This window comes from Homo sapiens, chromosome 3, assembly GCF_000001405.40.
Source record: "Homo sapiens chromosome 3, GRCh38.p14 Primary Assembly".
Lineage (NCBI taxonomy): Eukaryota > Metazoa > Chordata > Mammalia > Primates > Hominidae > Homo > Homo sapiens.
Genome location: NC_000003.12, coordinates 108,588,135 through 108,601,985, shown reverse-complemented (window position 1 = coordinate 108,601,985; position 13,851 = coordinate 108,588,135). Strand labels below are relative to the sequence as shown.

The 13,851-nt window shown below is 38.0% G+C and overlaps 2 protein-coding genes across 13 annotated transcripts in view, besides 1 other annotated feature; one reads left to right on the top strand and one right to left on the bottom strand.

Moving 5' to 3' along the window:
* Window positions 1-12,476, bottom strand: part of DZIP3 (DAZ interacting zinc finger protein 3) — a 105,331-nt gene extending 92,855 nt beyond the window's left edge. For 6 of the 11 annotated variants that reach the window (NM_014648.4, XM_005247919.5, XM_047449254.1 and 3 more), the window contains exon 1: window positions 12,147-12,264. The gene's annotated coding sequence lies outside the window, so the exon portion shown is untranslated. Of the gene's footprint in view, window positions 1-2,099; window positions 2,210-11,889; window positions 12,265-12,416 lie in introns of those variants that run through there. The other 5 variants (XM_005247914.5, XM_047449256.1, XM_005247917.4 and 2 more) reach the window with 4 other exon arrangements.
* Window positions 12,070-12,349: an enhancer, noted in NCBI's record as "active region_20222". NCBI's record gives its function as "activates an Ori minimal core promoter by ATAC-STARR-seq in GM12878 lymphoblastoid cells {active_cell/tissue: GM12878}" and the evidence as "EXISTENCE:reporter gene assay evidence [ECO:0000049][PMID:35858748]".
* A 71-nt stretch (window positions 12,477-12,547) lies between the features above and the next one.
* The window catches only part of CIP2A (cellular inhibitor of PP2A), a 39,575-nt gene continuing 38,271 nt past the window's right edge, over window positions 12,548-13,851 (top strand). For both annotated transcript variants that reach the window (XM_006713716.4, NM_020890.3), the window contains exon 1: window positions 12,548-12,712. In XM_006713716.4, coding sequence (XP_006713779.1) covers window positions 12,611-12,712 — 102 coding nt within the window. In that variant the 5' untranslated portion in view covers window positions 12,548-12,610. The remainder of the gene's footprint in view (window positions 12,713-13,851) is intronic.

The window sequence follows — 13,851 nt, the reverse complement described above, 5'->3', positions numbered from 1 at the left end:
AGCTGGGGAGATGAAGCTCAATCTCAAATCTATCTCCCTGACTGACTAAAACTAGGGGTTTATATAGCAGGGAAGAAATGTAATAATGTGCAAAAAAATAATAACTAGGGAGGGGCAAAGAGGCATCTGGTGAAGTGATCTGGTAATTTTCAGTTCTTGGATACTTTTTTTTGAGAGGCCTAAAGGTCGTTTCCTGAGGAAGAAACTCAAATAAATACAAGTTTCAAGCTTTAACACCAGAAGGGTCAATCTCTATGTTTATCCAAAAACAACTATCTATGGCACTACTGGGTTGATTTCAAAAATACCTGGCCAAGATAGAGACTCTAATATGCCAACAAGTTTACATTTCAAAGTGTGGGTGGATGTCCCGTGAATTTCCCTCCCTTGTCAACTCTAGCACTTACAGATTATACAATGCCAGGAGGAAAAAGTGAGTATCGGTGTGGAAAACAATAAAAATAAAGCTCATACTTTTCTCCACGCTACTAACTTAAAACAAAGTAATATATTTTGTCTTTTTCAGGAAAGGAATACAGTTTTTAAGAACTTTTCCTATGCCCAGTATATCAGGCTCTCTCAATTTTGGAACTACTGACATTCCAGCCTGGATAACCCTGTTACGGGAAGTTTTCCTATGCATTTTTAAGATGTTTCACAGCATCCCTAGCCTCCATCCACCAGATGCCAGAGGCAGCTCCCCACCAACACACACCCACACCCACACATCCACACACCTCAGCCCCATTGTGGCAATCAACGATATCTCCAGATATTGCCAAGTATCCCTTGGGGCATAAAATTACTCTCCATTGAGAAACATTCAGCTAAATGAATGAGTTAAGATTAACAAGCTTAATTAAGTGGACCTAGAGATTGTTCTGGGGAAGAAAAATAAGACCATCCTGATATTATACAACATGTACAGACACAAACAAACTTACGTCTACAAGAAAGCAAAATGACATAAAGTATGCAGATATCCATTAATGTCAAAATTATTTGAGTTTCTTCGTTAGATAAGGAAGCTGAAGCACAGAGAAAGTTTATTAATTTCACATAAAATCACACAGCTAGCTAGTGAGTGTCAAAGCAGAGTGTGTGTCAAAGCATACCCTTACAGAGTGATTACAGTGCTCTTAAACTACTGTAAGGGTATTCCTTATCTAAAACATAGGGATCCATAGGAGGTACAACAGTACCTCCTTCATAGGGTTGTAAAGATTAAATGCTTAAAAGACAGAATAGTACCTGGCACGTAGTAAGCACTATATAAGTGTTCCTATCATCACCATTTTCATAATCATAATCATCATCATTTAACTGTTTAGGTTTGCAGCAAAATTAATTAACTTTTCTTCTAATTCCCTACTGTGAAGGAGAAATGCTATTGTTTGGAAAGGAATGTTAATGAGATTTAAGAAGTGGGATAAAAAATTATTTTTCAAATACATCACATGACACAAAAGACAACATAATGTGTGCACACTGTTCAGCACCTTGCATTTTTCATACCAGCACATATACATCTACTTTAGTCTTTAAACTGCATGATATACCAATGTATGCATGTATCATTTTACCAGACCTTTGATTAAAAACTTCAGCTGTCTCTAGGTTTGACTTTAAAAAAAAAAAATGCTATTACAAACAATGCTGTAATACCACCACCTTGAACATGCAACTTGGTTAAAATTTTGATAGCTATTTTGAAAAGCTGGATTTCCTAACTCAACATTGAATTAAATGTACTCCAGAAGATCATGGGTCTGTTAACAAGCAGACTCTGACACTGCTAGTTATCATTTCTGCTAAATTTTACCAAAAGAATTCCAAAAAACTCCTCAAAGTTGACACATCAAGATGCTATGGTCACTTCAACCCTTAAAAACACTGAAGAAAACACTTTCAAAGAACATGGCAGGACATTTTGTGATAGGAGTTCCTTGGAATCAGAATTTTAACTATTGTTGATCTGAGTACATCTGCTAGATTAGCAGCAATAACTAGCCATTCTTTGTGGCTTTTGAAATGACTGTCTTAGTCATTGGGGCTGCTATAGTAAAGTACTATAGAAACAACAGAAATTTATTTCTCACAGTTCCGGAGGCTAGAAGTCTGAGATCAATGTGTCAGCAAAGTTGGTTCTGATAAGGGTGCTCTTCTGGGCTGCAGACTTCTAACTTCTGGTTGTATCCTCACATGGTAGAAAGAGGGTGAGAGAGCTCTCTGGCCTTTTACAATCCTGCTCATGAAGGCTCCACCTTCATGACCTAATTTATCTCCCAAAGGCCCAACCTCCTAATACTATCACATTGGGGGTTAGGATTTCAACACTGAATGAGGGGGGACACAAACATTCGGTCCACTGTGCAGTTGTTCTGTGGTTACAGCACTATGAAAGTCTTTATTTCTCGTATGTTAGTGAGCTCTGTGTAGACAAAAATGGCTGAGGCCATTAGGTTAGACTCAAAGAATAACAAGTTAACAAGTTGCACCATTATTTTGTATTAGCAATAATTAGTATGAACAAAATATACTGATTACTTGGTTTTATAATTTACTGTTAATTTCTCCATTTTTTAATTTGTTTAACTTCCTGGTAAAGCTACAAAATAAATACACCTAGACACCAGTAGCTAAAATATTATTTGCTCCCAAAGAACATACAGTTTGCTTATTCAAACTCCAGAACTTATGGATGATGGTGGAAAAATCTTTGCAAAAGTTATCAGAAACTGGAAGATATTTTCTATCCCAAAAGATCACTGTTTATGTTAGCTCTTGCCACTTTGCAAAGATCACTGTTAGCAATATATCTGCTTAAACCAGGAAATAAGTGCCTTATAATGTATACTCATCACCCCTTGTTACAAATCTGCCAACATGGGAAACATCCTTTCCTAAAGCAAAATTAACATCTTGTCTTAAGCAGGTTTTAAATTCTGTTCAGATCTATTCAATTAGTTACTTTTGGACTTACACAGGTAAACCTATAGTATACATATTAATTTGTTTTGAATAGTTGGAATGTGCCTACAATGAATATGCACAAGTTAGGATTTACCTGAAAAACTATCCAGATACTAAACAAGCCATCAGTTTCAAACATTTACAGATAGCACTGCTAAAACCACACTCTTCAGAAACGTAGCTAGAAACCACTGGAAGAAGCATATGCTACCCCTAAGCACATACTCCAAAGGTGGAATATTTTCAGCAATTTAAAAATATTATGTTGTCATTATAGTTGTTAGATAATGAGAAAAGAAGGGAGAATCCTGAGACATAACGCACGCAGAGATGGTAATCAAATAGGGAATGGGAATACTTCTTTCATGTACTTGCCTCTACCACCACCAATGAAAGCTTGCCCTATCCACCTCCAGCTTGCTCCACCCCATGTAAGAAAATTGGCAGCTCACTGTTATCTCAGAAAAGCATACATTTGTAAGAAGCGTGTAGGTAAGAAGGCAGAGCGAGCTTTTGGTTATAAAGAGTTTCTTTTCATATAGTATTAACTGAGTGTATTACCTTGGGTTGCATTGAAAATAAGCTTAATTTTCATCAGCTCCTATGTGCCACGCTCTAAGCTATGCACCTTGAATAAACATCTGATCTTTACACAACTATGGAAGATAAACATTATTGTAATAAGTTTTAAAAATTAAGAAACTGAGGCTTATAGAGTCTCATAGCTAATAAATCCGTAAGAGCAGAAATTCATGCCCAAATTTTACCAACTGCAATTCTATTTTCTTCCATGTCCCATTACTTCTAGTAACATATTTAATTTTATATAAGCTTAGTGTATAATTATGAGCTGGACTAGATAATATGCACATATGCATACTCAGAAATGAAACTATTTACACATTCTTAGTAATACTATAAAAGTTATTAATCATGCCAGCCTAATATTTCATAGTCACTAGTCACACTAGTTTTTGCTAAGAGTTTTTCTATTCAACAAAACAATTCAGATACTATACATGGTACTGAAATAAACAATGAAATGGACAATAGTTCACACCTGGCTAAATGATCTCTCAAAGTTAAAGATTTTTAAAAATGAAATCTCCAAACTTTTTTGATCACATAGCCCTAAAACAGTAAAAGATCTGAGAATATGCTGAAAATATAAGAATATCAATTCACTTATAAATTATATGCAGGCATAATTATTATAACATAAAAAAAGAATAAGATAAAAGCAAGTAAAAAACGTTTTAATATTTGTTCCCACACCTCAATGGACAGTTTCACATATCCCCTGAGGTGTGCATACTGTACTCTGGACACTACTGTCTTCGAAAACAGCTTCACATTTTAATTCAGGAAATAGATATCCACTCATTTCATAAGCCTGATAGTATTTATTTTCTGAAAGACCAGAAATTTAAAAGTGAGATAAGCAAAGACCCATGCTCTGCACCTATCTTGAAGATAGGTCTTCAAGAAATAGTAATTACCAGGATTACTGTTCCTTAACTTAAAAGTATATCATTTTCATCTTTACTTACACTCTACTTATACTTAACACTGGATTCAGAAACAATGGATAGTACTTGCATTAAAAAAAAAAGGCAAGGCAACATTCTTATTCTGGGATAGATGTGATTAGATTTGAGATGTGGTATAAGATATGAAAATGGGGGAATATATACTCAAAATATTCAAACCTTGTACTCTTAACCTAAAGTTGAATGCTGTGAAATGTATAAAAAGAAAAAGCAGAAACTGTTTGAAAAGTGAAAGTTAACTTCATGGTTGGGCAAATCATTTAGAGTTTAGCTGAACTGTAATACTTGATACTTGTGAAAGAAAACAGGAAAAATAATTGTAAAAGGAGAATTAATTTTTTTTAGATTTTCTGGCTTTGTGACAAAGGTAACATTTCTGAAAAATATGAGTTGACACTAATCATACACTTAGTTTCCTGACTCTGCATAAGGGGTAGAATCAGATTAATATTAGCATTTGAATTATTTTAGCTATATTGGGCACATGGTTATCTAAATGACCCCATGCCTAGACCTGTGCCAATTTTCTACTGCAGGATTTCTGATTTCATGCTTTAGAAACTGGGCCAGTGAAACTTTTGTTCTACCAGCCGTTTATGTCTACTGAATAATCCCTCAGTTTTAGATTTGGCTTCATGTCCCCACTAGAATATAAGCCCCATGAAGTTAGGAAAACTTTGTTTTCATTCCTTGGTGCCTAGAATAGCACCTGGCACACGTTAAGCACTCAATATTGCTTTAAAAAATGAACTCACCCACCCTTCTGCACACCTCAAGGCCTCTGAAGGCAGATGTAAAGAGGGAGCCCGTGTGTAGATTGTAACAGCCTTCTTGGCCAACCTAAAATTCTCCTTTAGAAGTCAAGAGGCAGCTCATATGCTACAAGTAAAGCTGGTACCTGTAGGCAACCATGGCGTCAAGACAGAACCTGTGTCTTCTTGCAGTTAACTTCTGTCTCCTTTGCCAGTTCCTCCACACTTCTCCAACCTCTAAATACTTAAATATCAGGGAGTTCAGTCCTAAAAAGTCTTTTCTATCCATACTTGGTCCTATATCATTTAGTCTCAAGGCTTTCAATTTCTATCTCCAACCCTGACCGCTCCTTTAACTACCAGTAATTTGATAGCCTACTCAATCTCTCCTGGATGTCTAACATCACAACATAACCTAAATAGAAATCCAGGTATCTGCCCCTCTCCACGAAAAGGCTGAAGCACAGCCACCCAGTCAAATCAGGCCTGGAGCAGACAAACTGCAGTCAACCACAAATCTGTGGGCAAGAAATAAACGCTCATGGTCTCAACCACTGTGTTTTGAGGTGATTTGTTATTTGGCATACATCAATTAGTACTCCATCCTATCTAAAATTGTAACACCTTATCCTGACTTTGATACTTCCTATTCCTCCTCCCTTTTTTCACTCCCTAATACTTACCGCTATCATTCATGTAATTTTACTTATATGCCTTATTGTCTATATCCTCCATTATAAGAAAACAACTTGGGCAGAAATTTTTGTCTATTTGATTCATTGCTGTATTCCCAGAACCTAGAAATGGACCTAGCATCAAGTGTTCATTAAATATACAGGAGATGAATGAATGAACAATTAGCCCTGTGTTCACACCCCGGTATAATTCCCATATTACAAAACTTAGTATTCTGCAAACTCTGCAGTTCTGTCAAAGCTATAATTCAAGTCTTCATTCAGTCTAATTCATCTACTATTACTTAAACCCTGGTTACTAGAGATTATATATTCAGGATAGAAGACAATATGTTCTTTCTAGATTTTTCCAGAAGAAATAAAGGAGCTAGACAGCCCTAAATTTGAGTTACAAGATGCCGAGCAAGTGTTATTTACTTCCATCAGGTGTATTTCTGAAACTATAAATTACGGAAAATATCTATGCAAAATCTAAAGTACAGACAAGTAATAAAACTTTACAGGTGGGTGTGGTGGCTCATGTCTGTAATCCCAGCACTTTGGAAGGCTGAGGCAGGATTGCTTGAGGCCAGCAGATTGAGTCCAGCCTAGGCAACATAGCAAGACCCTGTCTCTAAAAAAAATTTAAAAATTAGGCAGGTGTGGTGGTGCATGCCTGTAGTCCCAGCTACTCAGAGGCTAAAGTGGGAGGATTACTTGAGCCCAGGAGCTAGAGGCTGCAATAAGCTATTAATCATGCCACTGCACTCCAGTCTGGGCAACCAAGTGAGATGCTGTCTCCCCTACAAAACAACAACAACAACAACAACAAAATCACAAAGAGAAATTTTATGCTAATCTTTGAAGAATGAAGGAAGTGGATACTTAATATTTTACCCTAAAAAATACCATGTGTTTCCACAGTATTCTATTTCTCTTAACAGTACTTATTCTGGTTTGTCTATTTCACCAACAAAATCTAATCTCTTTGAAAAAGAACTGGCATTCAATAAACATTTGATGAATAAATGACTATTAGCATTTAAAAATGTATTTACCTGACTGGTTAAAACTATTATACATTTTTTAAGTGAAATGGAGATGTTTACTTTAGCTACTGTCTTTTTAAAAGTTTTTGGTCTATTAGCCTTTACTTTCTGCTGTGAAGAAAAAAACACAAAACAAAACCAAAATATAAAATACATGGCATAAAATAAATGATTTTTATTTAAAAATATACTAAGGAATGCAGCCATAAAAAAGAACGAGATCATGTCCTTTTCAGGAACATGCGTGGATCTGAAGGCCATTATCCTTAGCAAATTAATGCAAGAAAATCAAATACCGCATATTCTTACTCATAAATGGGAGCAAAACGGAAAGAACACATAGACACATACAGGGGAACAACACACATTGGGCACTATCGGAGGGCAGAGGGTGGGAGGAGGAAGAGGATTAGGAAAAATAACTAACAGGTACTAGGCTTAAAACCTGGGTGATGAAGTCATCTGTACAACAAACTCCCATGACACAAGTTTACCTATGTAACAAACCTGCACATGTACCCCAAACTTGAAAGTTATATATATATGGGGGGGGAGCAGGGAGGGAGGGGGGAGGGGAGGGGGGAGAGAGAGAGAGAGAGATGTCCTAAGACTTCAACTTTTAAAAACCTAGGTGTACTAAGACTTCAACTTTTAAAAACCTAGAAAAACAACAAAGTAAATAAAAGATGAATGTATACGGATGAAATTAATAAAGACAACAGTGGTGATTCTGAAATCAAAGAAAAATGAGAATTAATAAAATGAAAGTTGGTTCTTGAAAAGCTGAATAAAATGGACAAACCCTTGGAAAGCCCAACTAAGAAAAAAATATAGATAACATTAGAATGAAAATGGAAATTTAAAACTACTAAGAGATTAAGAGAATTACTGGAATGCTGAATGCAACTTTTTATCGGTAAATTTTTAATATAGAGAAGCAATTATTATGCTAAAAAGCTCTATATCTACAATTAAGGAAAGGCAGAATAAATGATCAGATCCGTAACTATACTAGAAATTCAAGCTCAGGCATGTTAGCTCATGCCTATAATCCCAGGACTTTAGGAAGCTGAGGCGAGCGGATCACTCGAGACCAGGAGTTCGAGACCAGCGTGCGCAACATGGTGAAACCCCATCTCTACAAAAAATAGAAAAATTATCCTGGCATAGCGGGGCATGCCTGTGTTCCCAGGGAGGATGAGGTGGGAAGATAAGCCCGGGGAGGTCAAGGCTGCAATGAGCCGTGATCATGCCACTGCACTCCAGCCTGGGCAACAGAGTGAAACCATATTAAAAAAAAAAAAAAAAAAAGAAAGAAATTCAAATATTTGCTAAATTTCTACCATCTACCACTAAATAAGCTATCAAGCTTAATGATTTTACAAGACAGCTGTGTACAGCCTACAAGGATCAGATAATTTCTATGATTCTTATTATCCCATAGCATAAAAAAAGATGAAACACTTCCAATTTCTTTTTCAATGGTAACATATAATTCAAATTTGATGTGAGAATAAAGAAAAATATTACTGAAAATGCTCACTTATGAACAGGTATATAATAAAATCCTGAATAAAATACCAGCAAATCAAAACCTGAAGCAAAGAAAAACATAGGATTGTTACTACTGTCTACGTGACCTTGGGCAAATTACTTCCCCTTCCTATCTTAGTTTTTTCATCTCTAGAATGGAAATCATAATAGTTCCTACAGCATGGGGTTGTTATAAAGATTAGATAGGTAAGTAGAAAGTCCTTAGGACAGTGCTTGGCACATGGCAAATGCTCAATAAGTGTAAACTATTATTATCCCAAGAACAAAAAGGCAACATAATCCACTGTGTTATAATTTTAAAGTGAAAAATAAAATATATAAATGTGAAAACTGGATAATTTTTGGCAGACATTTTTTAGAATGAAACAGATATAAAAGCCAATCTCTTAAACATGATGAATATCAAAAGCCAATAGCACAAATTATACTGTGTTAAAACACTGTTCATTCTCATTAAATTATGTAAAAAAGCTGTTCAAAGTTAACATGATTTTCCATATTTTGGAGCTTACACTAATGCAATAATGTAAGACAACAAATACTGGAAGGGGTGAGGTAATTATTTGCAGATGATATATAGGCAGAAAGTCTAAGTAAACCAATCTCTATTAGAATAAACGTAATGATAAATAAACATAATAAGAATGGAACAAGACAGTATGACAAACTATATAAAATCTCACTGAACATAAAATATAACCTGAATACTTTTTTTTTTTTTTTTTTTTGAGACAGGGTCTCCCTCCTGTTGCCCACATTGCCCAGGCTGGAGTGCAGTGGGGCAAACATGGCTTACTGCAGCCTTGACTTCCCAGGTTCAGGTGTTCCTCCCATGACAGCCTCCTGAGTAGCTGGGACTACAGGCATGCACCACCCACACCCATCTAATTTTCTGTATTTTTAGTAGAGGTGGGGTTTCACCATATTGCCCAAGCTGGTCTTGAACTCCTGGGTTCAAGAGATCCTCCTGCCTCAGCCTCCCAAAGTGCTGGAATAAAAGGCATGAGCCACTACGCCTGGCACACCCTTAATACTTTCTATTAACTAACTCAGCAGTATCTGTATCTTCTCATTCATCCAACCTAAAAACTTAGTATCTGCTAGACTCATCCCTCTCTTCATGCCTCACATCCACTATCAGTCACCAAATCCTACCTATTTTACTTCATATATACTTCTCGAATTTGTCACCTATTTTGTATCTCCACCTCAATTATCCTGGTTATCCTTTAGAAGGTTCCAGAAAATTAGTGTCCCTCTTTCCAGTCTTATCCTCCCCAAAATCATAGTTCATTCAGCTACCAGAGTAATCAATCTAAAAACAAACCTGACTAGACCAGGTGCCAGTTTAAAACCAGAGATTGCCACGGACTTCAAGATGGAGTCCAAGTTTAAGGCTAATAAGGCCTTTGGTCATTGGGACCCAGACTCATCTCTTTTTTTTTTTTTTTTTTTGACAGGGTCTCACTCTGCCACCCAGGCTACAGTGCAGTGGCACAATCACACTCACTGCAGCCTCAAGTGATCCCCCCAACTCAGCCTCCAGAGTAGCTAGGACTACAAGTGAGCACACCCATGCCCGGCTAATTTTTTCATTTTTTGTAGAGATGGCGTTTCACTATGTTGCCTAGGCTGGCTCCAACTCCTGGGTTCAAGGTCCTCCTGCCTTAGTCTCCCAAAAAACTGGAAATTAAAAGCGTGAGCCACTGCTCCTGGCCTCCTGCTCCTTTTCTTCCCTTTTTGAGGCCTAAAAGTATGGATTGGTGTTTCTCAAATTAGGATATGCAAGTATCTCTGATTAAAAATGTCAAGACTTATCACAGCTAGAAACGATCCCTCTTACTAAACTTACAACATCAATTTTGGTGAAGATTTTTTGAGAAAGACATTTGATATTAATTACAGAAGAGAATACAAAATTTGTATGACTGCTTAAGTCAAAATCCAACAAAGATGGCACTGATAGCACGCAGCTTTGCGCATTACCCTGGGCCTCTGAATGGGGACGATGCTGACACATCATCACAGATGAAAAGTCCAACACTATCAAACTCTGATCACTTCATTTGCCAATGAGGCACTGACTGTAACACTGAGAACTTAATTATGCCAGATGACAGCTGACACTTTACATTAATTCATTTTTTAACCATCTCCAAGACCGTATAGGACCTCATCTCTACTCCTCTCCTCCTCGTTCTTTCTACACTAGCCACATGGCATCCTTGTTTCTGGCATACAGTATCCCACTTTAGGGTCTTTCTTTGCCATTTCCTCTATCTAAAAACCTTTTCCCATAGAATATGGCTCCCTTTCTCAACTCCTTGAAGCATTTCCCCAAATGTTGCTTTCTTAATGAGGTCACCTTCCCATTTCCCTTATCAATTACCAACATTATTCTAGAGTAATAACGTCTATTTTTCTCTTTATATCATTTTCCTTACTTATTTATTGTGTTTATTATTTGGTTCCCTACCAAAATGTAAGTTGCATGCCAGTAGTATTTTTGTTTTTTTCACTGAGTCTATTGTGTCTAGAAAAGTGCTTAGCACATTGTAGATTCTCAATGAACTACTTATTGAATGAACAGTCCTATGAACCAGGTATCTCCCTTGGCCAGATTTTACCTAATGAAGATTCTGCAGCAGTGAGAACTTGCCTAGAGTCACATCGTCAAAGGTGGAGCTAGAATCTGTAAGCAACCTGGCTCTCTACTCTTTACCACTGCTGCATGTTACTGCATGGTGCCTCTCATTTATGTGGTGAATTTCAAAAGTACTATTTTGTATGTTTCCCTTACTAGACAGTTCCCTCGCAGCAGGGGATACTACTTCATCTCTGTTCCCTGACTGGCAGTTTCTAACCCATGTTACACGCTCTATAATTGTTTACGGAATGAATGAAAGCATAAATGAACACACAAGCTACCCAAAGATTTTTACATGAATGTCCCAACTGGTTAAATCATTTTTATCTTTCAGATTTAAACTTTTATAAAAAACAAAACCAAAACACCAAACCTGTCTTCAAAAATCTAGTAATTCAAAAAAATTCTTTTGAAGTGAAAAAACATGATTTCTGATAAACGATTTAATTAAATGGAAATGTACCCTATTCTTACAATTTCTACATCCTGGTTTTTAAAGCTTTATTCGACGTTAGGAAATATTAAGCAAAAAGCTCCAAAACCAGTAACTGACTCGCTTCATTACATACACATGCAATAATATTAAGCTATCTCCGATTTAAAAAACGCAAATAATAGTGCCATTTTCGTAGACATCGAGAATTATAAAACAATCAATCATGCCAGAGAGAAACAGACACCTTCACTTACAAAAACTGACGCTAACGAGTAACACCCTCCGGAGCAATACCTGGCCCAGGGTCAGCAGGAGGTAGTCTTCTCGAATAAATGTGACAAATACTTTGGTCAGGGCATGACTAATTTGCCACATAATGCCAATAGGTTGACTCTGAGAAACTACCATCCCCGGGCAGAAGGGGCGGGTGTAGGAGAGATTTAAAAACGAGGCCCCTCCCAGGCCGCCTCAAAATCTAGGGCCCAAGATTCTTCTCCTCAGAGCTCCTCACCGTGTCTAGACTAGGGGCAAGCGACCATTTCTCAGGTAGAGGATGACGCACAAACGAAAAACTGGCCATCCAACATGAAGGACGAGGAAGCGCACGAAATCAGAGCGCACAGCTGAGTGAGGAATCCCCCTTCTCCTAACCGATTCCTCTCCCGAGAAATCGCGAGATTTCTCGCCTTCACGGGATCTCAGGCCGAAACCTCGCGGCCTCTCAGACGAGGGTGGGTTAGCGGGGGCAGCTCCCAACCCCCGTCCTGGACCCACAAATCACCTCGACCCCTGGCCCACCCCGGCCGTCACCGAGAACGGTCCCCTAGGGTGCCTAGGGACTTCCGGAGCCCGACCGGATCCGGAAGCTTCTGAGAGCGAGGGGGTGGGGCCGAAAATCAAAAAAAGCGCGGCGAAAGCTAAAGGCCGGCGCACGCTGGGCGGTGGTGGTCCCTAAGCCGGGCCGCGGCCGGTGCAATGGACTCCACTGCCTGCTTGAAGTCCTTGCTCCTGACTGTCAGTCAGTACAAAGCCGTGAAGTCAGAGGCGAACGCCACTCAGCTTTTGCGGCACTTGGAGGTGAGAGGCTCTGGGGTAGAGGACAGATGGGGCTTCCCCTAGCAATTCTTATTTCACAGTGAGGCCGAGGAGTGGCGGCCCCAGCCTGGGAAAGAAAGGACAGTCCTTCGATCCCTCTGTTGTCTTTTCGTACTGGTAAAGGCTAGTGAGTGTCGGGGTTCCGCTGGCCGCAGCGAGAGGCAAGAGCGCTCACTGAAGGCTCTAGGAAAAGCGGGAGTGGGGCAAAAGGTTGGGAAGTTCAGGTTGTTTCGAGTAGGTAACGGAAAAAGCTCGGAACTTTATCTTTTCCTTTGCTTCTAGTTTTGGTTTTTCTACGAAACCAAGCCCTCAATACACAACTATTCTCAGTGACGGAAAGTCATGATTAAAACTTGGTTTTGCCCTTCGGTAATCTATAATTGAATTTGTTGCTTACTGCTCTTACTTGAACTCGGGTTGAACTCAAACTTGAAAAACATTATTTCAACATTAAGAAGCACTTCCCCTTCCTAGTAAGCGTAATCCTTTTTCTTTACCAAAATACATTGCTTACAGTTTTTTAATCTTAGAATGCTGAATTGCCTTTTTTTCTATTCTAGTGATATGTGTCCAGACGATTCCGTTTGTTTTAGGATCTTAATCTTCTGCTTTCATTTGTTTTGCATTTACGGAATTCAAACTAACATTGACCTCAGTTTAATTTTTTTAAAGCTCAATTAAGGCTTATTTTAACTCTCTGTGTCACAGCTTTCCTCTGTTAAGGTAGAATTGAACATAATTTTAAAATATATTGTATTATATTAACCCTATGATAAAAGACTAATGTGCCAAAAATTTGTAAAATATTACAGGAAAAAAATGATTTCCAGTAGTAGAGCAACAGCAGCTGTTAGTGAAGCTGCTGTTGTATTAAATGTGTCTGTCTTATCTTGAGCTTCACTGGTGCTCCTCTTTTCCCTACTTCAAGTGCCCATCTCCTAAGTACATTTGTTTTCTCTTTTTCATTCTTTATTTTAAGAAGTGCCTGCAAACCTAATAATTAAGGTGTTAGCTGTTAAATGCTTAAGGCTTTGCTTCTGAATTAGCATAGGCTCCAGAAGCCGCAGAATAAGCAGGGCAGTCCGTTTAATTTAAAAATCGGGAGTTAAGCATTTTGTATG